Raw genomic sequence first — 17,782 nt, 5'->3', positions numbered from 1 at the left:
AAGATTTGCAAGCATTTAATTAACAAATAACGTCCTTTCAATGGTGGTGTTTCAATTAGATTTCTTATTTACTCTTGCATTCATTAAAATAAAGACATGAATTAGTACAATTTCTCTTCAAAGCCAGACAATTAAACTGGCTTTGAGTTTTTTGTTGTTGCTGGGTTTTTGTTTGTTTGTTTGCTGTTTGCACTTATTCCCTAGATTTGCTTATTTTATCTTAATTTGTCCAAGATTTCAACAGAAACTATAGGTTCAAAATTCCCTTCTTAATACCTATCTAGAAATTTAGAATGCTATCATTACATTTTCTAGTTTCAACAGCTACCTTTTTAGAATCTGACATCTTAGAAATATCACATAGGCCGGGCATGGTGGCTCATGCTTGTAATCCCAGCACTTTGGGAGGCAGAGGCGGGTGGATCACCTGAGGTCAGGAGTTCGAGACCAGCCTGGCCAACATGGCGAAACCCCGTCTCTACTAAAAATACAAAAATTAGCCAGGTGTGGTGGCGAGCGCCTGTAATCCCAGCTACCCAGGAGGCTGAAGCAGGAGAATAGCTGGAACCCGGAAGGCAGAGGCTGCAGTGAGCCAAGATCGCGCCACTGCTCTCCAGCGTGGGTGACAGAGCAAGACTCCATCTCAAAAAAAAAAAAAAAAAGAAGAAGAAGAAAAGAAATACCACAACAACTAGAAAAAGTAAAGATTTTATAGTTAGTATCTTTCCTTCAAGTGGCTAAAGAGATTATGCAAAATCCATAACCTGCCTCCCCTCATCATACTCTTTTCCTATTTTTATGGCCGTCACTTTTATTTCCCATTTGTTCTTTGCTTCAACTTATGGTGCTTCCTCGAACAAGTCTGTTAAGCCTGTCTCCCAGGGCAGTCATAGGTGTCAGTGAAAAACCGGATAAAGCAGAAGAGAACAAGAATAAGCCCTCCACCTTCTGCCACCGTGCACTGGCAGCCTTCGCTCCACAACTTGCAAGACCTGAGCCTGTTATGTTTTGCCTGATACTCATATTTCAATCTGGAAACTAAAAAGGCACAGAGAGAAATAATGTTTGAGCCCCCACCGTGGTACATAACTGACAGAACTAATATTGTGTGGCCATGTGAGCATCAGACCAAAGAGAAATCATCAAAGTGATGAGATCTGTCATTTACGCCTTTCTCCCTTTCTCCCAACACAGCCAACCCAAGGGGTCATAAACTGGGATGCCCCAAAGATGTGTTTCCTTTGATCCACATAAATATTTTTAAACTTTTGAACTAGTTGCCAATATTTAAAATTGGAAAATGATATGTAAAAGTCGAGACTTGCATGTCCTTTTAAATTGGCAACACCGAGCCAGCTCCGCAGCCTGAGGACAGCCGGCCTCAGTTGGTAGCAGCTGCTCCGGGCAGGCAACGAGTGCGCTACGCTTTGGCGCATGCCCGGTGAGCTCCTGCCTGGCCCTTCTCACTCACTCATGTTACCTGCACTACCACTCAAGGCACGTGAGTTTATGACCTTTTGAAGTGAAGTACTGCCAAGCACTCTCTAATAAAGATTTGGCAGCCTTGCCAAAGTAGCTGAGAAATCATTTTTTAAATAATTTACTTCTGCCTATAAGAGATTGGGTCTTTGATCAAAACTTTCCCATCAGATATTCCAGCAGCGTACAATCTGACCCTCTGGTTTCTGACCATCCAGACACCTAGGAGACCTGGAAACAAAACCGATAGGACAGGGAGGTGGAGAACACAGTGGACCCGGCACCCACATGCCTCTTCAGGTCTCTTCCACACTCCTAATCATCGTGTCACCATAAATGGATCCAAGGGCTAATCTAAGGCTGAAAGGCTTCTCCCAAGAGTGTATGCATTCTAGTGGGATTTGCAAAGACTCAGAAATGCTATCAAATGTTAAAGACAGGGATTTGCTATAATGATCGCATTCATAGCTGGTGAAAACATGGCAAAAAAGGTAGCCAGAAACGAGAGAGCTGTCCTAAGTCCCTCCTGATCAGCACATCTGCAGCCTCTCTGCTTGTCATTGGATCCAAGCCCATGCTGTTTCCAGAAGAATACAGTGCATTCTCAGGATATTTGGTAACCATTTTTACTTACCAGTAAGATGATGAGAGGCAAACGTGAAATCACCATTCCTAAGCAACCACACAAAGCCTCAGGTACGTACCCGAAGAAAACACAGCCACCCTCATTGTGCAGAAACACAAGGCCAAAGCCACAGATCTCAACACACCCTGGATCAGCCCACACAGCTGGATGAGCACAAACCCTGGATTGTTATATTACACTTATAAAACTGCACTGCACAAAAGAAAGCCCAAACATTAAGTCATTATCGCATTTAAAACTGAAGAGCAGCACGTTAACCTGCCAAAGAAAACACCCAGGAGCGCCCGCTGGAAGGAGGGCAGGCTGGGAGAGAGGCAATGCAGCAGTGGCCTACACAGGAAGCACTTGAACTCCAGGTGAAACTCACTTTGAAGCTACGCTAGACCCCATGAAATATTATTTGTGAAAAAGCATGGCCACAATTAATGAAGAGGCATGGCAGAAATGTAAGCCATGTTAAGACTGACCTCAGACACTTCTGAATACTTATTTTTAACTAAATAAGGTTCTTTAACTCCAAAGTTCACCTAGTAGATCGGCTATATGTAAAAAGCTTGTAAATGGTTTTGTCTCCAAGTTCAGGATAGCAAATGTGATGGTTGCCTCCATGGATCAATTACAGATCAATTAGTAGTAGTAAAGAAAAAATACTTCTGAAATTATAAAGTGAATCCATGGGGAAATGGAATTTGACTGATAAGGAGTAGATGCGCACAACCTCTCCATTATGTACAGGGAAGTGCTCCTGTACTCCAGTTACTCCATTACACCTATTTTACTCTTGAGGCAAAAAGAGAAACCCCAGGCACCTGAAAATCTAATCCTGAGCACAACAGGCACCAGCCTGAATGAGTAGGAAACTTGAACTTGCTTTTCTTCTTTCACAGGTCTGAGTTCATCTGATCCTGCCAGCTACATCCAATCACTTCATTTCTCCCTTCCTGTCCTTTTCCTATGCCCTTTCCTCATTGCACAATGCTTGAATGCTCTGCTTTAAATTCTCTTCAGAGGAAATGGCTTATGGATAAATGTAACAAATGGGAAGCTAAAGACTTGAACTTGATGCTGGGCCACACTTATAAGGAGACAATTGCTTTTCCAAGAGAATAAACAAAAGGCTTCAAATATTTAAAGAACTATTATAGAGAAATGGATTTAAGAGTGTATAGAATTCTGGAAGGCAAAAGTAGACTCGATGGGTAGACGTTACAGGCAAGCAGATTATAACCAACACGTTAAATCTCTTAAAATATAGAAATGTTTGCCCTGTCTGATGGTGAAGCCTCTTTGATTGGAAATGTTCAAACAGATCTGAAAAAATTCCTTTTAGAAGTACAATGGATGGTATGGCAGCATTGGATAGTAAAGTGATAAGACTAAATCAACTCTAATTCTAAGGAGTCTGTGATTCCACAATAAGTAATGTTATATGAATAGCTTTTCCAAGTGAGAAACGCAGCCACACACATCCACGTGATGAGGCAGGCTGGCTGAGGTGAACGTAGGGAGCGACAAGATGGGAGATGCCCATTGCTTACTCATCGGAGGGAGTGACACTGTCTTAGTCTTGGATAAAAACTGGCCCATAATAGATTTGAGGATAGAAAAAGGAATGGAAAAGATAAAAGATTGATAGGCTAGAACCTTCAAGATAAAATCTAATGGGAAAAAGGGGAAGCTATGCTTATGTAATTAACCACATATGCATAGCGCATGGGTGTCTAACTTAATGGCAGTTTATGGTTTTTATTTTTAAAAGTCAAATATGCCCTACCCTACTAGAAAAGTTAGGATTTTAGTTTTTCTGTTTTTGGATAAGGGGAAGGAAAATGAAAGAAAATGATCTTCTCCGCACTCCCCCTCACACCCTTCCAACTCCATGAGCAACTAAAGAGCTTCCATCCAATATTCTCCTACAGATAACACTGTCCTTGACCCAAATGTTTGTGGCTCACCAAAATTTATAAACAGACTAGTAAGAGGCTTTGAAAACGTGAACTCAGACTATTGTTTCTAAAATTTAGCTTAGATCTCTCAGAGAAATGTTGTCAAGTCAAAAAGAAAGATGTGGACAAGAAGGATGAAAGCCTTATTGGGCAGACTGCTATAAAATATAACAGCACTTTCTGCAAAACTGTGTTATTATTGCCCTAGTGCTTCTATGTTAGAAGTCTGTGAATCTCTGTTATTTAAAAAGTTAATCATAACATAATGTTAACACACATTATATGTGTGACTCAAGGCTATTCTTGTTCTCTGGGCTCATGTGCCCAAACTGACCACATCATTTTCTTAGCACCAAGAGGGTTGCTCTTACAATGTGGCTACTTTTGCATTTCCTTCTTTGGAGCCTTGTAAGTAAAGAATAAAAGGAGGGGGAAAAGGGAGTGTGCAATTTACTATAGTAAGTAAAAGCCAGGATCTGTTTAGTGTGTGTATCCCCTACAATTCACTCACGTGTTTTTCCTTTCTTGAGAAGGTGATGATCAAAAATAACTTTAAGGTTGCATCATCAATTTTCCACGAAGCCATTTCACATGGTCCAAACCCACAAATGTACCCCCACTCTGGCACACAAATCACCCACCCTATCCACATCCAAGATAAAGGAAAGAGACCTGCCCAAGAAACCTTGTCACACCAACACTTGCCTTATATGCCCAATGAAGTCAGCTGGGAGTAAAAAATAAAAAATGAGCTTGTAGAAATTTGCAGTCTCTAAGTATTTTCCCACAAAACACTTATTAATTGGAGAAGGGAAAATACGGGCATACCTTGTTTTATTGCACTTCTCTTTATTGCACTTTGCAGATATTGCGCTTTTTACAAATTGAAGATTTGTGGCAATCCTGTATCGAGCAAGCCTGTCAGTGCCATTTTTCCAACAGCGTGTGCTCACTTCGTGTGTCTGGGTCACATTTTGGTAATTATTGCAATATTTCAAACTTTTTCAATGTTATTATATCTGTTGTGGTGATCTGTGATCAATGATCTTTGATGTTGCTATTGTAATTGTTTTAGGGTGCCACAAACCTCACCCATATGACAGTGAACTTAATCAATAAATGTTGCGTTTGTTCTGACTGCTCTAGACTGACTGGCTGTTCACCATCTCTCTCCCTCTCCCCAGGCCTCCTTATTTCCTAAGATACAACTATATTGAAATTGGGCCAATTAATAACCCTACAATGGCCTCTAAGTGTTCAAATGAAAGGAAGAGTCACTCCGGTCTCACTTAAATCAAAAGCTAGAAATGATTACACTTGGTAAGAAAGACATGTCGAAAGCCAGCATAGGCAGAAACCCAGGCCTCTTGAGCCAAACAGCCAAGCTGTGACTGCAAAGGAAAAGTTCTTAAAAGAAATTAAATAGTGCTACTCTCATGAACGCACAGATGATAAGAAAGAGAAACAGCCTTATTGCTGATAGGGAGAAAGTTTTTGTGGTCTGGATAGAAGACCAAACAAGCCACAACATTTCCTTCAGCCAAAGCCTAATCCAGAGCAATGCCCTAACTCTCCAATTCTAAGAAGGCTGAGAGACGTAAGGAAGCTGCAGAAGAAAAGTATGAAGCTAGCAGGGGTTGGTTCATGAGGTTTAAGGAAAGAAGCTGTCTCTGTAACATAAAAGTGCAAGGTGAAGCAGCAAGTGCTGATGAGAAGCTGCAGCAAGTGATACAGAAGATCCAGCTAAGATCAATGATGAAGACAGCTACACTAAACAACAGATGTTCAATGTAGATGAAATAAAACAGCCTTCTGTTGAAAGAAGATGCCACCTATGACTTTCACACTAGAAAGAAGCAGGTGCCTGGCTTCAAAGCTTCAAAGGATAGGATACCTCTCGTGTTAGGGGCTAACGGAGCTGGTGACTTCAAGTTGAAGCCAACGCTCATTTACCATTCTAAAAAATCCTAGGGCCCTTAAGAATGATGCTAAATGGAGGGCTGAGAGTGGTGGCTCACAGCTGTAATCCCAGCACTTTGGGAGGCCAAGGCAGGAGGATCACCTGAGGTCAGGAGTTCAAGACCAGCCTGACTAACATGGTGAAACCCTGTCTCTACTAAAAATACAAAAATTAGCCAGGCATAGTGGCAGATGCCTGTAATCCCAGCTACTCAGGAGACTGAGGCAGGAGAATCACTTGAACCCGGGAAGCGGAGGTTGCAGTGAGCTGAAATCGTGCCATTGCACTCTAGCCTGGGTGACAGAGCGAGACTCTTTAAAAAAAAAAAAAAAAAAAGAATTATGCTAAATCTAGTCTGCCTGTGCTCCATAAGTGGAACAACAAAGCCTGGATGACAGCACATCTGTTTACAGCATAGTTTACTGAATATTTTAAGCCAACTGTTGAGACCTATCACTAAAAAAAGGTTCCTTTCAAACTATTACTGATCACTGACAATGTACCTAGTCACCCAAGAGCACTGATGGAAATTTACAAGGAGATTACTGTTCTCATGCCTGCTAACACGACATCATTCTGCAGTTCATGGATTAAGGAGTAATGTCTACTTTCAAATGTATTTAAGAAATAGATTTTGTAAGGCTACTGCTCTGATAGATAGTGTTTCCTCTAATGGATCTGGAAAAGTAAACTGAAAACTTTCTGGAAAGCATTCACCATTCTAGATGCTATTAAGAATGTTCTTGATTCATAAGGGGAGGTCAAAATAGCAATATTAACAGGAGTTTGATGGAAGTTGATTCCAACCCTCATGGATGACTTTGAGGAATGCAAGACTTCAGTGGAGGAAGTCACTGCAGATGTGATATGTGATAGAAACACCAAGAGAACTAGAATTAGAAGTGGAGCCTGAAGATGTGACTGAATTGCTGCAATCTCATGATAAAACCTGAACAGGTAAGGAATTGCTTCCTATGGTTAAGCAAAGAAAGCGGGATCTACTGGTGAAGATGCTGTGAACATTGTTGAAATGACAACAGAGAATTTAAAACATGACATAAACTTAGTTAATAAAGCAGTGGCAGGGTTTCAGAGGATTGACTCCAATTTTGAAAGAAGTTCTACTGCAGGTAAAATGCTATCAAACAGCATTGCATGCTACAGGGAAATCTTTTGTGACTACAACTGTGTTGGCAAACACAGAGTCAACTGATATGGCAAATTTCATTGTTGTTGGATTTTAAGAAATTGCCACAGCCATCCCAACCTTCAGCAACCACCACCCTGAGCAGTCAGCAGCCACCAACATTGAGGCAAAACCCTCCACTAGCAGAAAGATTATGGCTCACTGAAGGCTCAGATGATCATTAGAAAATTTTAGCAATAAAGTATTTTTTAATTAAGGTATGTACATTTTTCAGACGTAATGCTATTACACACTTAATAGACTACAGGATAGTATGAACATAACTTTTATATGCGTTGGAAAACAATTAGTGTGACTTGCTTTATTACAATATTTGCTTTATTGAAGAGGTCCAGAACCAAACTGCACTATCTCTGAGGTGTGCTTGTAGTAATTTTAAAGTAGAGAAACTGGCAGATACGATATTTACCATTTGTTCAAAGTTAACACTACCAGTAATGAAACAAAGCAGTATCATGTGCCTCTCAATCTGATGTACTGAGAAGAACACATCACTTCTCTGATATTCTTGCCAAAAATGTTCTTGCCAAACCTGAATCTAATCATGAGGAAACAGACAAACCCAACTTGAGAAATATTCTACAAAATAACTGGCTTGTACTTGTTAAATGATTTCTAGCTTATGAAAGAAAAAAAAAGAAAGCTGAAGAAATATGACAGAGTAAAGAGGACTCGGGAAACATGACAACTAAATGTGTTCCTGGCCCTGAAAAGAGGCAATCAAAAAATTTGGATAAAGTCTGTAGATTAGATAATATTAAGTTAATATTAATAGCCAGATTTTTATTGTTATACTTACGGTTATAAAAAAGAATGTCCTTATTTTAAATAAATACACAGTGAATTATTTAGAATTGAAGGCGCATCATATCTGTAAGTTGATCCCAAATGTTCAGAAAATGTATATATATGCATACCTTACATACGTATACATGTGAATATCGGCCGGGCTCAGTGGCTCACGCCTGTAATCCCAGCACTCTGGGAGGCCGAGGAGGGTGGATCACGAGGAGAGGAGATCAAGACCGTCCTGGCTAACACAGTGAAACCTTGTCTCTACTAAAAATACAAAAAATTAGCTGGGCGTGGTGGCATGCACCTGTAGTCTCAGCTACTCAGGAGGCTGAGACAAGACAGTTGCTTGAAAACGGGAGACAGCGGTTGCAGTGAGTCGAGATCGTGCCACTGCATTCCAGCCTGGGTGACAGAGCGAAACTCTGTCTCAAAAATAAAATAAAAATAAAAAAATGTGTACATGTGTGTGTAGACAGAAAGAATGATCAACTAAGTGTGGTAAAATGTAAAACATTAACATTTGGGGAATCTAGGAAGAGTATATAGAAATTCTTTGTAACATTTTCATGTTTGCAAATTCTCTGTAAATAAAAAGTTTCTGAAAATTAAAACAAACAAACAAAAAAACAAGGCCAGCCATGGTGGCTCACAGCTGTAATCCCAGCACTTTGGGAGGCTGAGGCGGGCAGATCACTTGAGGTCAGGCAGACCACTTGAGGTCGCTAGCCAGCATGGTGAAACCCCATCTCTACTAATAATACAAAAATTAGCCAGGGGTAGTGGTAGGCACCTGTAATCCCAGGTACTCAGGAGGCTGAGGCAGGAGAATCGCTTGAACCCGGGAGTTGGAGGTTGTAGTGAGCTGAGATCGCGCCATTGCACTCCAGCCTGGGCAATAAGAGTGAGACTCTGTTTAAAAAAAAAATTTAAAAAAAAAAACAAAAAAACTTAGGAACCCCCAATGTCCTTTGCTCCCCCAACCCCCAACACTGAGAAGCACTGCAATGTCCTGGATGGTCTTCCCTGAAAGCAGCAAGCTCCCTTAGGGCACCAATGTGTCTCCAAATCCCGGAGGCTAACACAGGGCCTGGCATATGCTAGGGGCTCGAAAAAGGGCCAAAGAATAAATGAACTACAAGAAAGATCCGAAAGTGTGGGCAAACCCCAATTTGTGGCTCTCTCTCTGCAAAGCTGGTAGGAACCGTGGCTGTCCTGTGTAAATGCTAGGTGGGAACGATGAGCAGACGGCATTGGAATGGAGAGTAAGTTGTGGCTCTACTCTGAGGGATTATTTTTATTGAGGAGGCAGGGGAGTGCAGCATGTACCCTTGGGCTGGCCTGCAATGGCCCCACTCTCCTGAAATAGGAGTGCATTCCAGGTACTATGTGTCCTAGCATACAAGGTCTCTGTCGGATCACGCATAAGCCATGTGATGCACTGAGATAAGAAGAAATAAACACCAAGATGCCCCAAGATAACAAGAAGGATCGAAATAGCTCCATGTTCAGTAAATCCTTCATCATGAAAATAATGCCTCATAACATTCTGTTCTTACTTCCCAAACCACTAGTACTTGGTTTTTCAAATTCACATTGATTTTGTACATGAGGTCTGAAATTAGCGTCGTTTTAATTACCAAAGTTCAAGAAAAGCTTCAAAAAAGTTTGAGATGAAAAATATGACTTTGCTTTGAAAATGCAGCTAATTCATGAATGTCCCAAATGGACTGCCTTTCCAGAAAAATTCAATTCTGAATAGTGACAAAGGAAAAAATGTGTAATCCACAGACCATGAAAATGTATTAGGGGATATTCCTATAACCCACAGAAAATAGGGACATAGAAAGTATGTGCTTTCGCTAGCCAAGTTACAATTTCATAATCATGAACATATTCCAGAAAAAAATTAAACAAGGCTAACTACAGCACATAACTGAGGGCAAGACGCAATATTGCAAACCTCATTTGCATATTAATTCAAACAGGGGCCTTTTTGCTTTATAAGGAATATAACTTTCGAGGATATCTAGCTGAGATTGCTATGCGCACTGGTAGGGGCTTATCTATCAATTTCTTTGAAAATGAGTTCTTAAGGCAAACCCAAATCGTAAGGAGGGGAAAAAAGCAAGAACACCCTACAATCAATAATACACAGGGAGCCCACAGAGGAACTAGGGCAAGTTGGTACAGATGCGCCCTCTTCCCCTTTACTTGACACATCAGAGAGGCCAATTAGTTCTCAGTCAAAACTCCATTCCTTCCACCAACTTAATTAATAAGGGCAGATACTGAACTCGACCTCAGAGTCTTAGTTGTCGGCTATTAGTTTGTCCCTGACACCCCTCAGCTTCCCATCTCCCATTTCAAAGCTGCTCCACTTCTCTAAAACGGGAGAACCTAGGCATAGCATGCTTGCTTCTAGGCTCTCCCAGGGGTACGTCGTCTGGAAAACCCAAAAGGACTTGGCACAAGAAAGATACCTGATGAGGCCCCAAGAGCAGGAGTCAGCTTCTCCCCTTTCTGTGTTCAGTATCCCACCTGTTCCAGACACAGTCTAGTCCTGAGGCTGCCAATGGTGTGGGTCTATCAGTGCCAAGTAAAATCATGAGGATTCACGGTGATCTGTACCCCTGACCTAAGGGTTCTGGAAGAAACCCCTCCTTTTGTGGAGCTCATACAACCTCAGATCTGTATGCAAATAGGTAGACAGTATGGTATTGTTAACAGTTCAATCATTCTCAATCAAACTCTGTCTTCCCCACTCCCTATTCCCCTCTCACCTCTCCATGAGAACCCATAGCTATGGATACCCCTGGGCTACTCTACAACTGGGATGATAGTGGCAGATCAATAAAAATCAAGCCACTGCCTAGTTTTGTCTAAAGAGGAAGCATAGACACTAGACCAAAGGATAATATGACAGTTCTAGAAATCTGAGCCTTCATGCTGGTCCTCAGCCCCTAGTGTGTTATTACCAATGAAAAATGCAGAAGCTTTGCCTCTTGGTCCCCACGCAACTGGTTCTTCTTACCTTTGGTTCCATTGAAATGAAACTGTGGGTCCCTCTGCTCGAGATAACTGACCTTTTAATCGTCCTGCTATGGTAGAAGTGGTAGTAGTCCTTCAGGGCCCCTATCTGCAAAGGAAGGGTGGGAAGGAAAGAACAAAAAAAAGACATTAATGTGTGAAAACCGTCTTCTGTTTTCCTGTTTTTCATTTAAAAAGGAACACAAAACAAAAAAGGTCCATAAATTATGCAGCTGCTGGCTGTGCTTAAATGTTACCTGAACCTTGGTGATCACTTTTCAAAAGAAAGACATGTGATATGAAATGGAGTGTCCTTGAGGCAGTGACTGCGGAACTGAAGATTATAATGGGGCAGCTTAGCCTCTCCAAATCTCCTTTTAATGTTTAATTTATATGCAGCATTTTAAGTAATTCTATATCAATCTATACCCAAATGTGGGAAAGAGGGGGGAAAATCAAATAGCTATCTAGTTATAAAAACACATTGCATTTTGTTTGCTCTGAGAAATGTACAATGAAGGACCTTGTTAGATTATTTATACAGTTAATTTGAAATATGTCTTAAGCAATTGATCATTCACAAAGATAACATGACTTCGTTTGTTTGTGACTTCTGTAGACAGTATAAATATATAGATTATGCATTTATTGCAAAACTAAAAGTAAAATCGCAATATCTAAAACAAGACAAAAACATACATCCTACCTATCAGCTAAGCTTCCTGTATAAAAACAGTTGGTTCTACTTTATCTTATCCGTTTCTCTAACATTCTAGTCCTCTCATTTACATACACCTTTCCTCAGTTAGGTCTGTTTAGGATGGCTTTGAAAATAAGCCCCTGTCCACTTTGGGAAAGCAAACTAGCAAAACCTCAACCAACCATATTTTCTCAGCAAATTATAAAATGTGGATCATAGAATGAAAATTGAACTATGCATTGAAGACAGAAGAGCTTGGTTCTAATTCCAGCTGACACTCACCAGAGCTAAATAACATACACTAAGTCTCTGTTTTCCTTTTCTATAAAATTGGACTTTGGGCTAGTTAATTTCCAAGACCACTGCAGCGCCCAGATTCCATTCTTTGACACTCACATGCTTTAGGCAAATACTATAGTAGCTATTTCTCCAGGACATCCACGGCTCTGCCCTAAAATAATAACTATCATCAGGATGTTTTCCAGTTGGGACAAGTCAAAAGTTCAGCTTTCCTAATTTAAAAAAAAAAAAAAAAAAAAGTCTTGGCCCATGTTAATTTTTCCAGATAAAAAGTTTATTTCTCTTTCCCTTCTGTTCATCACGTTCTCAACCACCATCCCACTCAATTTCTGTGCTATTTAGAAATCATGTCCTCACTAGGGCTTTACACAGTAATTGAATGTCTCATCATTAAGATTTGAAACAAAGTCTAAGTCTCACATTTTTTATTCAAGTGGAAACTGCTCTGACCTACACAGATGAAATCCTGCACTCTGAAAACAAGCGGGGAATGCAGGCGGGGAAGCCTCTCATCTCAATGATCCTGGACTCTGAAGCAGCAGTGAACAATGAGGAAGAGGGCACAGATGCCAGCCCCAGCCTCCAGGAGTGTTTTAAGGAGGGTTTTACAGGCCCATTTTAAGATTCCAGAGGACTAAGGGTAGAATTCAGGAGTGGTTGCATAATCCTTTACAAGAAAACCTTAAAATCCCAAGAAGCTTAGAGTTGTCATCTCCTGTAACTTTTGTCAAAAGCACTCTTTGGTAAATACAGTAGTTCTCGTGGAAAGAAACAGAATTTCCATAAGGAAGATCGTCACAGAACAACCCCCTCTCATATCTGTTTTCTACACAGTAGCTGGAATGAGGCTTTCAAAATACAAATCTGGCTGTGTTCTATGGCCTACCCCTGCCTAAAATCCTTTAGTGGATTCCCTTTGCCCTCAAAATAAATAGTATCAGTCAACAATTAATACTATTTCATAATATAGTTTTTAAAAGTAAATCAGAATAATAATATTGTATTAAACTTTTATTCACACCATGCCAGGGAACTATTCCGTACGCTTCATCTAACTCACTGAATAGACCATTCTCCTCCTCCGACCTAGGGGCCTGTGTGGTCTGGCCCAGCCTCTCTCTGGCCTCACCTCAAATCACACTGACCAGCATTCTTTCTGTACTCTGGCTGATATTGTTTGGCTGCGTCCCCACCCAAATCTCATCTTGAATTGTAGCTCCCATAATTCCCTCATGTTGTGGGAGGGACCCAGTGGGAGATAACTGAATCATGGGGTGGGTTCCCCCCATACTGTTCTCATGGTAGTGAATAAGTCTCAAGAGATCAGCTGGGCACAGTGGCTCATGCCTATAACCCTAGCACTTTGGGAGGCCGAAATAGCTGGATCACTTGAGGTTAGAAGTTCAAGACCAGCCTGCCCAACATGGTGAAACCCCGTCTCTACTAAAAATACAAAAATCAGCTGGGCGTGGTAGCACATGCCTGTAATCCCAGCTACTCAGGAGGCTGAGGCAGAAGAATCACTTGAATCTGGGAGGCGGAGGTTGCAGTGAGCCAAGATCGTGCCACTGTACTCCAGCCTGGGCAACAGAGTGAGACTCTGTCTTAAAAAAAAAAAAAAAAAAAGAGATCTGACAGTTTTATAAGGGGAAACCCCTGTCGCTTGGCCCTCATTCTCTTCTCTTGTCTGCTGTCATGTGAGACGTGCCTTTCACCCTCCTCCATGATTGTGGGGCCTCCCCAGCTACGTGGAACTGTAAGTCCATTAAACCTCTTTCCTTTGTAAATTGTCCAGTCTTGGGTATGTCTTTATCGGCAGCATGAAAATGGACTAATACACTAGCTATGATGGCCTTCCTTCCATTCCTTGACTGTGTCAAGCTCATTGCTCCCTCCACCTGCGGCACCTCCCCTACTGCAGCTGGAGGGAGAGGGTGGACCCTCTCCAGCTGAACTCCTCTTCCTCATAGTTTGTGTCTCAAGTAGGAAGTCTTCCAAAACTCCCCAGGCAAGGTCAGCATCATTAATTATACCATCTCATATTAATAGAATCATAAGAATATGCACCTCTAGTTATACCTTAATTAGTACAAATACTGGTTTAATGCCTGTGTCCCCATCAGCCCATATGTTCCATTGAGACAGGAAAACATCTGTTTTGCTCACCATTTTATTCCCAGCTCCTAGTGCATGGCTCAACACAGAATAGAATCTCATTAAAGACTGCTGAATGAATGGCCTAAAAATCAGAATCCAGCTGTGCACGGCGGCTCACGCCTGTAATCCCATCACTTTGGGAGGCTGAGGTAGGGGGATCATGAGGTGAAGAGATCAAGACCATCCTGGCCAACATGGTGAAACCCCATCTCTACTAAAAATACAAAAATTAGCTGGGCATGTGGTACACGCCTGTAGTCCCAGCTACTCGGGAGGCTGAGGTAGGAGAATTGCTTAAACCAGGGAGGCGGAGGTTGCAGTGGGCCGAGATCGTGCCACTGCACTCCAGCCTGGTGACAGAGCAAGACTGTGTCTCATAAATAAATAAATAAATAAATAAATATCAGAATCCTTAAATTACTGAAACCACATACAGTAGAGCTACATACAGCTCAAAATCTCTAGTATGAGTATCAAAGAATTATCACATTAAGGCTAATTTCAGCAAAAATGGTTTAGTTCTACCTTAATTGCAGTACCAACTCTTCCAAGGTTCTGAAAGTTGTGGGTTGAGACATCTCTACCCTTTATTTTCTTTCATTTTGTTTGCAAGATAACAGCTAAAGCGTAAAGTGCCTTAGTTCAATTACTCTGCCCCAACCAAACAAAATAATCTATCACCTTCTAGGATTATATATATATATATATATATATATATATATATATATATATATGTATTTATATGTAAAAGCATGTTTATGTCTCTCATCTATTAATATGCATGTCCCTTACTGAAGAGAATTATCTTTTATATTCTTTCAACAAGCACCAACATGCTGTTGGGCATTTAATAAATATTAAGAAGAAAAATGTCACAACATGTTGGAAGTTATTCAAAAGAAAGGCAGTGTATGAAAACAGCAGTGATATTATCTATAAGCAGGCATTCCATCTAGCTTCTCTGGGGTAATGTAAAACAAAAGCTGATTGTGGTTACGTTATTCAATAGCAGCGAGGACTGAAACAAGGAACAATATATAACTAACATGGGGATATCTTATAAATAAATCAGAAACAATAGGAGTATATGAAGTATAAAATCGATAGCAAATAGTGCAAAGCCCAACCTTTTCCTTAAAGCTAGCTACATAAAGGAAAGAGAGAATAATTTCTTCCCTCTTAGCCCTCTAAAGCTCCTCTTCTGTACAGTCACACACTAACACAACTCTACACACAACTCTAAGTCAATGAATGTCATCTCTTGTTCCTAATTCTGTCAAGTTTTTGTGCTTTTTCTTCCTGAATGATAGCCCGTCACCCTTGCACCCAGAATTTTCCTATCTCTATCCTTTCTAGAACCAAAGTGTGTTCTTAGGAAAGGCGTTGTAAACTATTTTATACTAATAAATGACTGGTAGATTCAATGTTTCAGTTCTTTCAGGGAAAACTGCATTTGATCAGAAAATTAAAACTTGAGCCAAATAAATGAGTTCACAGAGCCTGTAATTTCAAAAAATAATCACCGAAGTTTTTGGTTTACTTTTTTTTCTAGCAGCAGGAGGACACCTTCCCAATGTTCCTAAATTTTCATATCACAAGCAAGCTGATGACTTTTGAACAGACAGCTGAGACCCACGTGTTAACACTGGCTTTGCCCCTGATGAGGAGCTGTGTGGCCTTTCAGAAATCATTCACCACTGGCAGCTTCACCTGAGCATGCAGCGAAACCCCTCAACAGTCTAATGCCTCCTTGCACAGAGTTTGCAGCTTCCTTGTACATAGTTATGCAAGGTGACCAGCCAACCCCCACAGACAGTTTACCCAAGACTAAGGAATTTCCTGGGACACAGGATTTTTCAGTGCTGAAATAGGGACAGTTGGTCACCTAGTTATGAAGCTGGGGTCACCAGCACTGTGGCCACCTTGAGGAACCTGTCAGTTCTCTTGGGCTTCTTCTCTGCTTGGTTTTCCCTCCTGCCTTCTTCAATTTATAGATTCCTCCAAATTCTGTACCTCCTTTTTGAAAAGTTATTTGCCTCCATTCTACAAACAAATTAACCAAAGGGGCAAAAGCTTGAATGGACATCTCACAAAAGAAGATATACAAATGGCCAATACGCACATGAAAGGATGCTTGAATGAAAATTAAAATCATAATAGCACTGCACACACACTAGAATGGCTAACATTAACAAGACAGGCAATACCAAGTTTTAATGAGATTGTGGGGCATGAGAATTCTCATATATTGCTAATAGGAGTATAAAATTGTTCAACGTCTTTGGAAAACCATTTGGCCATTTATGAAACATACACTCTCCTCACGATCTAGGCATTTTGTTTCTAGGTATTTACCCAAAAGAAATTAAAACATTATTTCTAGACAAAACTCATAAACGTTCACAGAATTTTCTTAATAGTAGCCCCAAACTGGAAACAATGCAAATGTCCATCAATAGGTGAATGAAAAACTACATGTACCATATCTTATTTTCATAAAGTATAAAATAGAATATAACAGGATAAAATAAAGATCATACGGCATATAATAGAATGATACCCAGTAATGAAAAACAATTAAGAGGAACAATCAATCATGAATACATTTCAAAATATGTTAACACAAAAACGTGCATACCATATGATTCCATTAACATAAAATTCTAAGACAGATAAACCTACTGTATAGTGAATGAAAACAGATCAGTGATAGCCTGGGTGTGGAGTGGGAACAGGCTGGGAGATGCCTGGAGAACCATGCTGAGAATGTTTTGCATTTTGATTATGGTAATCCCATAAAGTGCAAAGGTGTGTGCTGGAAACAGCTCCTCCTCATCGCCTTCTAACAACCAAATACATCTTTTCCCAGCACCCTATTAAGTGACAGCAGGTTGATGACTTAACATCAACAAGGATAGAAGTATTTACATCACAAAAAACTGGCAAAGGTCACAAATTAGGGCTTCCTTTTCTCCATAAAGGGCCAGTTAACTATTTATCAGCACATCACTGGGTATATACATTTGTCAGCACTCAGCCAACTATATACAGGACTGGCTGCATTTGGGATATGTAAATTATACCTCAATAACCGATGATCTCAAAAAAGTTATAAATTCCCCTTTTCTGAATTCTGGTTATTTCTTTGCAATCCATAGAGTGACTTAGCGATTGGGAAATGAAACAATGAATGAAAGAATGGGGAAATGAAAGAATTGGGAAATGAAAGAATCCATGATGTGGAGCTGGAATGTGTCCGCCAGCTCACACTTGTTCCTACCTGCTCAGGTGAGATGGGGGAGAACCAAGTCATCAAGACCATTGTTCTTGTTGACGAACCTCTTCCCAATACTCAAAACTGAAAAGTCCGAAACTTCCACTTGTTAAACTCATTTCTGATTTAGACAGAAAGTTACAGAGGCAGTGATGAGATACTGTTTTCTCTTCATTAAAATTTAAGTGTGATGCTTCCTTAGCACTTGGCTAAATGTGAGAATGTTAAAATAATTGTAACTACTTGCCTTCTGTGTTCTAAACTCCATAACATTCAAAGGAGAATCCATAA

General features: G+C 40.5%; 1 protein-coding gene across 8 annotated transcripts in view; it reads right to left on the bottom strand.

Annotated features, from left to right (window-relative positions):
• PCSK5 (proprotein convertase subtilisin/kexin type 5) overlaps window positions 1-17,782 on the bottom strand; it is a 473,167-nt gene that overhangs the window by 419,428 nt on the left and 35,957 nt on the right. For all 8 annotated transcript variants that reach the window (NR_120409.2, XM_047423454.1, NM_001372043.1 and 5 more), the window contains exon 2: window positions 11,065-11,169. Coding sequence is in view for 7 of the 8 variants with exons in the window: in NM_001372043.1 (NP_001358972.1) it covers window positions 11,065-11,169 (105 nt within the window). In the remaining variant the exon portion in view is untranslated. The remainder of the gene's footprint in view (window positions 1-11,064; window positions 11,170-17,782) is intronic.

This window comes from Homo sapiens, chromosome 9 (assembly GCF_000001405.40).
Source record: "Homo sapiens chromosome 9, GRCh38.p14 Primary Assembly".
Lineage (NCBI taxonomy): Eukaryota > Metazoa > Chordata > Mammalia > Primates > Hominidae > Homo > Homo sapiens.
The sequence above is the reverse complement of the archived record's forward strand: the minus strand, read 5'-3'. Positions and strand labels throughout refer to the sequence as shown.